This window comes from Homo sapiens, chromosome 1 (genome assembly GCF_000001405.40).
Source record: "Homo sapiens chromosome 1, GRCh38.p14 Primary Assembly".
NCBI classification, from domain to species: domain Eukaryota; kingdom Metazoa; phylum Chordata; class Mammalia; order Primates; family Hominidae; genus Homo; species Homo sapiens.
The window spans coordinates 201453808-201462492 of NC_000001.11; the positions used below are offsets into that span (position 1 = coordinate 201453808).

At 49.6% G+C, this 8685-nt stretch overlaps 2 annotated features.

The window, feature by feature from the left end:
- Window positions 637–686: an enhancer, noted in NCBI's record as "active region_2316". NCBI's record gives its function as "activates an Ori minimal core promoter by ATAC-STARR-seq in GM12878 lymphoblastoid cells {active_cell/tissue: GM12878}" and the evidence as "EXISTENCE:reporter gene assay evidence [ECO:0000049][PMID:35858748]".
- Window positions 7772–8354: an enhancer, noted in NCBI's record as "H3K4me1 hESC enhancer chr1:201430707-201431289 (GRCh37/hg19 assembly coordinates)". NCBI's record gives its function as "activates a minimal SCP1, AML or CMV promoter by ChIP-STARR-seq in naive H9 embryonic stem cells {active_cell/tissue: H9 hESC(naive)}" and the evidence as "EXISTENCE:reporter gene assay evidence [ECO:0000049][PMID:30033119]".

Below are 8685 nucleotides of genomic sequence, written 5' to 3' on the forward strand. Positions count from 1 at the left end.
AACATGGCAGCTTGAGGCTGGGCATAGTGGCTCAAGCCTGTAATCCCAGCACTTTGGGAGGCTGAGGTGGGCAGATCACGGGGGTCAGGAGTTTGAGACCAGCCTGGCCAACATGGTGCAACCCCATCTCTACTAAAAATACAAAAAAAAATTAGCCAAGCATGTTGGCATGTGCTTGTAATCCCAGCTACTTAGGGGGCTGAGGCAGGAGAATCGCTTGAACCCAGGAGGCGGAGGTTGCAGTGAGCCAAGATCATGCCACTGCACTCCAGCCTGGGTGAGAGAGTGAGACTCCATCTCAAAGAAAAAAAAAAAACATGGCTTCATCAAAATGAGCAAATGAGAGAGTCAGGATGAGCAAGATGGAAACCACAATCTTATATAGCCTAACCACAGAAGTGGCATCCCATCCCATTCTATTGGTTAGAAGCAAGTCACGAGGCCAGTTCACTCTCAGAGGGAAGGGATTACACAAGGGGGTGAATTCTGGGAGACAGAGATTATGGGCAGGGGCATCTTAGAGTCTGCCTGTCACCGTTACTCTAGAACTCAGTCTCAAAGGAGCAGGAGGGACTAGCTAGGTAAACACAGGAACAGAGGCTCAAGAAGACCACAGAGTTCTATGGGAAAGACCATAGCAGAGAGGGCTGCCACCACAGAGAGCAGCCCAAGGAAATCAACAACGCTCTATCTGCCTATAGCCCGGGTTTACTTTTTGCTACATGCTTATTTGTGTTGTATTTTTGACCTTGTTCATGTATATAGTATTCCTGCAGGGAGAGAGGCTAATAGTTCCTATTCTATATTGATGAAAACTGACCCCCAGACCAGTAGGAGTGTGACCAGAAACCAGCTGCCCACGGAGCTCTCTTCTCCAGTGAATATTTGGATATGAATGAGACCTGACAAAGAAAATCACCAGACCAGTCTAAGGAAGACACAGGAAATGGAGGAATGAGGTTGCCCTTGTTGCAGATGGTGCTCCCCAGGACCCTGGCATGTGAGGCTAAGTGGATGTATATAAGCTTGCAGGGCGTGTGTGTGCATGTGTGTGTGTGTATGTGTAACACCATTCATCAGGCTTCATTCAATAAATCTCCACCAAGCACCTGCGCCCTAAACCCCAGGGACCAGGACAGCAGCCATAGTTTTTCGTACCCTGAGTTCTTGATGAATATCACTGTCTGAGATCATTAAGCATCCTTCCCTTGGGTTGGCAACTTCAGAATCACTATGGGGACTTATTAAAAATACTGAAACCTAGGCCAGCTCCAGAGGTTCAGATTCAGTGGGCTGCAGGTAGTGACAGTGTTCTGTGCTTTTAACAGGCACCCAGGAGAGTCTGACCATCTGCAGGATTTAGAACCTACTGACCTACTTCAACCTCTTTGCTTTATAAGTGAGGAAAGTGAGACCCAGCAAGGAGGGAGTTGTCCAAGGTCACAGGGCCGGGTAATGGACAGCCTGAAAGAGGGTACAGGCTGCCGGCATTCCTGCTGAGAGCCACTTAGGTGTCCTCTCAGTGCATTCCCCCCGACTGCATACCTGCCGGATTTCTTCCCGGCTCCACTCATCTGAAGTGTCCCAGGAGCTCCCAGGAGCCCAGCTCACATCCACCTACAAACAGAAAACACTTGCCCTCACAGCCGATAAGCCCCCAAGACAGTATTTCATACACACACACACAGGTGCACGCATGCACACTACCCACATGCAGAATTTCATGTTCATTCTTTCCACGAGTCTTTGCTGAGCATTCACCCACTATATGCCAGCCACTGACCTGAGAATCCAGCAGTGAGCACAAGAAAAAAAAAGTACAGGACCCTGCCCTCCTGCACCTTCCAGTCTAGGGCAGGGAACCAGGGGGCTGCTTCAAGTCAGTTCCAGCAGCAGGCTCTGCCCAGGCCCATGAGCAGCTGAGCAGAAGAGCAAGGGTTTGGCTGCTGGGGTCAGGGTGGACCCCTCACCAGACTGTGCAGGCAGAAGACCTCTCAGCTTTGGATCTGGGAGCTCAGAAGGCACTGGGAAAAGCAAAGTGGACCCAGGTCCTCCCACATCCTTCCAGGCACCCTGGATTTCCTAGTACCTTTATTTTGAAATATCTGTCCAGCAGTGGGCACTAGCAGAGGATCCTGACTGCAAACATGACTTGCAGGCTAAGCTGACAGGAGCTGCCAGGTACCTAGCAGAGGCCAGGAGACACAGCAGGGAGGAGATCCCCTCGCTAAATTCCCAACTGGCCAAGATGCCTGCATTCCACAGCCTTCAGCAGAGGGCCCTAGATGGGAACATTTGTCTGTCTTTTTTTTTTTTTTCTTTTTTTTTTTGAGACAGGGTCTTGCTCTGTCACCCAGACTGGAGTGCAGTAGCATGATCTTGGCTCACTGCAACCTCCGCCTCCCGGGTTCAAGCGATTCTTATACCTCAGCCTCCTGAGTAACTAGGACTACAGTGCGTGCTGGGCTAATTTTTGTATTTTTAGTAGAGACGGGGTTTTGCCATGTTGGCCAGGCTGGTCTCGAACTCCTGACCTCGAGTGATCCTCCCACCTCAGCCTCCCAAAATGCTGGGATTACAGGCATGAGCCACCACGCCAGGCCAGGAACATTTGTCTTTCTAACTCCAGACTGGGTAGTGAGATTAGGGACCCCACCTTAACCATGGGGAAGACACTTTACTTCTCAGAGCCTTAGAACGACCATCCTTAATCTATCAGGAAATCCTCCTACCTCTTCCAAACTCACAGGGCTGTTGTGATAATATGATGAGGTCACACCAGAGGGCTCTTTGAGTCAGAGCTCTGGAAAGAAACACAGCACTGATGAGGAAGCTTACAGAACTGAAAGGTGAAGGTGGGGGGAGGGGTCTTCCAGGAATCTTCCAGGGAGAAGCCTATGTTTTGTCCCACTGGAAAAACAGACCGGGCAGGACCCATGTGGGAGACCACCCAGACTGTGAGAAACATTCGTTGGTTATGTGTGTTTTGGAAATGGGGTAAGAGCACAGAGTGATCTAAAGTCCCCTTTGCATAAAGAGCTGACAATTCCAAACCGCAGCCCTGAACACCCCAGTCAAGTCTAATTAATAGATGCTGTTGGCTTTTTAGAGCTATTTTCACAGTTCAGTTCCTCTATCTGCACTGTCTCAGTTAGCATGGAGGCCCACTTTCCTCTCAGCAGAGTCAGCCAAGGGTTTTCCAGGGCCAAACTTGTGTGTTCTCCTTCTTGCTTGCTTGGTGACATGCTCTGTGAATGCAGACAAGTTGTGCAACCTACTCTCTCTTCCCTGGCAGGGGAGCAGGGCCTTTGTGTGTGTGAAGGGCCATGAGCCATCGGAATGGAGTGCAGTTAGCGGTGCTGGTGAGGAGAATGACAGAGCAGCACAACCCAATGACTAGGGGATCTTGACGAGCCGCGCCTGCTTTCTTTACCCTCAGTTTCAACCACGAAGTTCAAATGCCAGGGAGGTGCCATGAGGTGGTGAGAAGAGCGTTAGGATCCAGAGTTGGGGGCAGGAATCCACTCTAAGCCACTGGCTGGCTGCAGAATCTCAGGCAACTGCTTCAAATTCTGTGAGTTTCAGCTTCATCATCTGTAAAATGAGGACACTTGTGTGGAAGGAACATCAACCTAGCACAGTCTGAAATTTAGACCATTATGCATGAAGGCTAGAATTGGGATTAGGTAAAAGCACTCAGTAAGTGTTACTAATTTAAATTGTTAATTACGTACAGTTTTCTAAATAGGGATTAGGCAAAGCAGTTACTAGGAGGATGATTATACTACTGTAATAACAAACATTTATTGTGCACTATCTGTGTACTTTATCTACTTTACAGGCATTCTCTCAATTAATTCTCACAGTGATCCTAGGAAGTGGGGCTATCATCATTCCCATTTTAATGGCATGCCAAATAACTTGCCCAAGTCATGTGGTTAGTGTGAGACACCTTGGGGATTCATTCACGCTCAGATCTGTGATTAGAGCTTAAGTTTTTAACTGCTACTGGCAGGCCTCCTTGTACTTCAGTATCTCTCCCGCAGTGGGCATTTCCTAACTAGTTGCTCTCATTTCCTCCCACCTCCTCTTTCCATTACAGCCTCCGGTCATCAAGCTCTCATTAGCTCTACTCCTAACTCACTTCCTGCCTCCCAGGGTCTCCCTTCTCCATCACTGCCACCAAGGATCACCTCTGCCCACCCCACAGGGGGACCCAGCCATTCCACCTAAAGAATTACCCTGAAGATGGCCGGGTGCAGGCTTACACCTGTAATCTCAGCACTTTGGGAGGCCAAGGTGGGCAGATCACGAGGTCAGCAGTTCAAGACCAGCCTGGCCAACGTGGTGAAACCCCATCTCTACCAAAAATACAAAAATTAACTGGACGTGGTTGCAGGTGCCTGTAATCCCAGCTACTCGGGAAGCTGAGGCAGGAGAATCGCTTGAACCTGGGAGGCAGAGGTTGCAGTGAGCCGAGATCATGCCACTGCACTCCACTCTGGGTGCCAGAGCAAGATTTCGTCACAAACAAAACAAAACAAAACAAAACAAAACAAAAACAAAAAAGAATTACCCTGAAGAAACAACAACCGGAGACAAAAATGGAGATTTAAATATGCAAATGGTCATTGAAGCCTCATACGTAAGAGAGAAAGAATGAAAAAGAACATGAATGTCCAACAATAAAGGATTGATTTGCTATATAAATAATAGTAAAGAGAACAGAATAACATACAGGCATTGAGAGGCACGTAATGGTATGGCCTTATAACCACAATATATTGACACATTAAAAACCAGAATATGGGGGCCAGGTGCGATGGCTCACTCCTGTAATCCCCGCACTTTGGGAGGCCGAGGTGGGCAGATCATGAGCTCAGGAGTTCAAGACCTGCCTGGCCAACATGGTGAAGCCCTGTCTGTACTAAAAATACAAAAATTAGCCAGGCATGGTGGCATGTGCCTCTAATCCCAGCTACTCAGGAGGCTGAGGCAGGAGAATCGCTTGAACCTGGGAGGCGGAGGTTGCAGTGAGCTGAGATCATGCCACTGTACTCCAGCCTGGGACAGAGCAAAAAAGCAGAATATAATAGAGTACACAGTATGACCCCATGTATGAAAAACAATTACATATTATATGATTGCATCAAAATAGATGTAGAAGAAAATACACCAAAATGCTAACAAAGACTATCTCTGAGGGATAGAAACACAAATGTGACTGTTCTTTTTCTGTGCTTTCACATTTTTCTTCAATTAACTTATTTTTATAATAAAAATAAGGGGTTAGTTAAAAATAAATAAATAAAAAAATAAAAATAAGGGGTACATGCGTGTCTGTGTGTGTGTCTGTGGGTGTGTGTCTGTGGGTGTGTGTCTCTGTGTGTGTCTGTGTGTCTGTGTGTGTCTGTGTGTGTGTGTGTCTGTGTGTGTGTGTGTCTGTGTGTGTGACAGACCTCTGTGATGGGCTCCCCATTGCCTACGGAAAGAAGCCCACACCCCCAGCCCACTTCTTCTGTGTGTGGCTGTTGTTCCTCAGGTTCTGTGCACACCATTTTTGTCTCCTGTCCCATCTCACCTTCTCTGGTCCTGGCACCTTTGCACATGTGATTTCTTCCACCTGGAACGCCATCCCTCCTCTCTCTGATGGTCAGAATTATACGCTCCCTTAAAAGGGCCAGCTCAAATGTTCCCTGCACCTCCATCCTACCTCCTATAGTTCTGCCTGCACCTTACTGTCCTCCTCCTTTTGCATGCTGCCCTCTCTGGCTCAGTTACCTTGGGAGCTCTTTAAAGCCAGGGTCTGGGTGGGATGGGCTTATGCCCCTGTGCAGCAAATACTCACTCATGCTTAAGAAAGCACTGAAGTTGGGTTGAGTTAAAGTGAGTTGCAGTTGGCTTCCAGTAGGGCCCCCAGAGCTGACTGGAGAGCCCCCAAGAGACCCCTGGCTATCTTTCTTCTTTGCAGCTGGGGGCCTGGGTCTCTCCCCTGAGATGGCAGGAAATGCTGATGACATCTGAGTCACTGATGGGTGATGCCCCAGGGCTGTAGCGCTGTTGCCCACAGGCTTGTACTCTGTACGGTCCCATTCAATGGAGCCGAGTGCTGTGGGCAGAGCTGACTGGTGAGATCATGAGGATGGGTTTTACAAGGCCTCCTGTCCCTGGGGCAGTGGGTAGGGTGGCCAACTACCACAGTTTGCCTAGGACTGAGATGCTCCTCCGGATGCAGAACTTCCAGTGTTAAAACTGGAGAATTCCAGGCCAACCAGGCTGGTTGGTCAGCCAGCAAGCAGGGCATGAGTGCTGCCTCTAGGCCTCTGGGACCAGGATTGCCGCCACATGGGATCACAGCTTCTGATCCCTTGAGCGTTTGTCCCTGCAGGCTAAGGTGACCCTGTGCCCAGGTCCTTAGACAAAGAGCATCTCAGGCCAATACAGCGACAAGGTTCTGAACCTGGAACACCATTTATTCCCCCAGAGTTCTCACTGCTCCTTCATAACCAGGAAGGAGTCCATCGGCTCTTCTAGGCTATTTTCACCACAGGCCTAGCTCTCGTGAGCATGCACAGAGCCTCCCAGGTCATGGGGCACATCTCTGGGTCCTTTCCTGTAGTTAATCTCCACCCTTGTTTCAGGACTTGGCTCCAGTCATCCTCTCCATGAAGCCTCCCCTACCCCCAGCCCACAGACCATTCCCTTCTCTGCCCTCTCGGGGCTTGATCCTCACCAACTCTCTCTCTTCTGACCTCCTTTCTCCCAGCAAAATGCTGGGTTCATTCACTTACTTATTTACTCACAAACAGTAAGAATCTATTTGGTGTTGGGTTAAGAGCACTTACCTAGAGTCCCACTGTGACCACATTGACTCCTGGCTCCACCACTTAGCTGCTATGTGACTCTGAACCAGCCACTTAACTTCTCTGGGCCTCAGTTTCTTAATGTAAAATATGGGAGTCGTGATAATCGCACCTACCTCACAGGGTTGTTGAAACGTTACATGATTTAAGAATTGTATAGGCTGGGCATGGTGGCTCATGTCTGTAATCCCAATACTTTGGAAGGCTGAGGCAGGTGAATCGCTTGAGCTCAGGAGTTCAAAATGATGAAACTCCATCTCTACAGAAAATACAAAACCAGCTAAGCATGGTGGTGCACGTCTGTGGTCTCAGCTATTCAGGAGGCTGAGGTGGGAGGATCACTTGAGCCCAGCAGCAGGTCAAGGTTGCAGTGAGCTGAGATCATGCCACTGCAGTCCAGCCTGGGTGACAGAATGAGACCCTGTCTTAAAAAAAGAAAATTTTTTTTTACAGTTCTTGGGTCAATATCTTGCACGGAGTAAACACTATATACCACTTGTCATTTTTATTATTAGAATCTACTATTTGCCAGGTACTCTGAGGCACCAGGAATATACAAATAACAAGTGCAGAAACTGACCAGTCTAGTTGGACAGGCAGACGCATAAATCAGCAATCACAAGGCAGTGTGACTAATAGAGGAGGTATGGCAGCACAGAGAGAAGTGAGCAGTTACTCAGCCTGCCTTGTAGGCAGGGCACTCAGAGAAGCTTCTCAGAGGTGGTGACATGAGAGAGAGCTGAGCCAGTGATACAGAAGCATGTAGCAAGAGTGGGGGTACACTGGCCTGGCAGTGTGAGGCAGCTTTCCCAGGTCCTGGAATGGGGGTGGATTGCATGCTGGGGCCGGGCGTGGAGCACGTAGAGACAAACACTGGAGAGATAGCCCTGATAGTGGAGAGAAGACCCTTTTGACAAGTGGGCATCCTCCCAATGCAGTGGGGAAAGCGCTGGCAGTTTTAGCAGAAGAATGAATTGAATTCTGGACAGATCACTTCGGTGAACCATGGTGGACCCACTGAGGCAGGAGACTGAGGGAGGTGAAACCAGGGCTCTCTGTGCAGCCTTACAGTATGTTCCTGTATAGCCAGTCTTGCCAGGGTCCTTGGGTCCTGGCCCTGGTGTGACAGCTGCCCACAGTACCTATACATCCCCAACAGACTTCAGGATTGCACACGGTAACGCCCTGTCTATCTGCCCCTACTCCTTCCTGCTGCGATTCCAGCTCATGGACTCTCACTCTGGCTCTCCTCACTGGTCTCCATTCTCACCCTTGCAACAGGCTCACTCTTGCTAAAGCCTTAGCTCCCAACCCCAGCTCACCCTGACCACAGCAAGCCCATCCCTTCTCCCTCGGTCTCCCCACCCCACCTCATCGGACTCCCAGCTGCCTGGCTGAGACTTGCCCTGTCTCATGTTCCCATGGATGACTCACGTATCGGGTGGGGGTGAGGCCACGCTGGGGCTGCCGAAGCATGGGGAGAGTTGGTGGCAACAGCCCTTCCCTGGCCTCACAGGCCCAACTGAGCAAAGGTTTTCCATCTCATGCATGTCTGCTGGCACTATCAGAGCCTGTTTGTGCCCCCAAAGAGGTCTTGACCCTACTCTGAGGTCTAGCCAAGCCTTCCCGGGGTAAGGGCCTTTGCTCCTTCTTGGAAATTCAAAGTCATGAAAACCAGAGCAGTGAGAACACCCGTGAACCCAGGAAGCAGGATGGCCCCTCCTCCATCAGAGAGGCAAAGACTCCCCAAAGAGGTCACGGATCTTTTTTAAAACCTGGTCTTAGCCGGGCACGGTGGCTCACGCCTGTAATCCCAGCACTT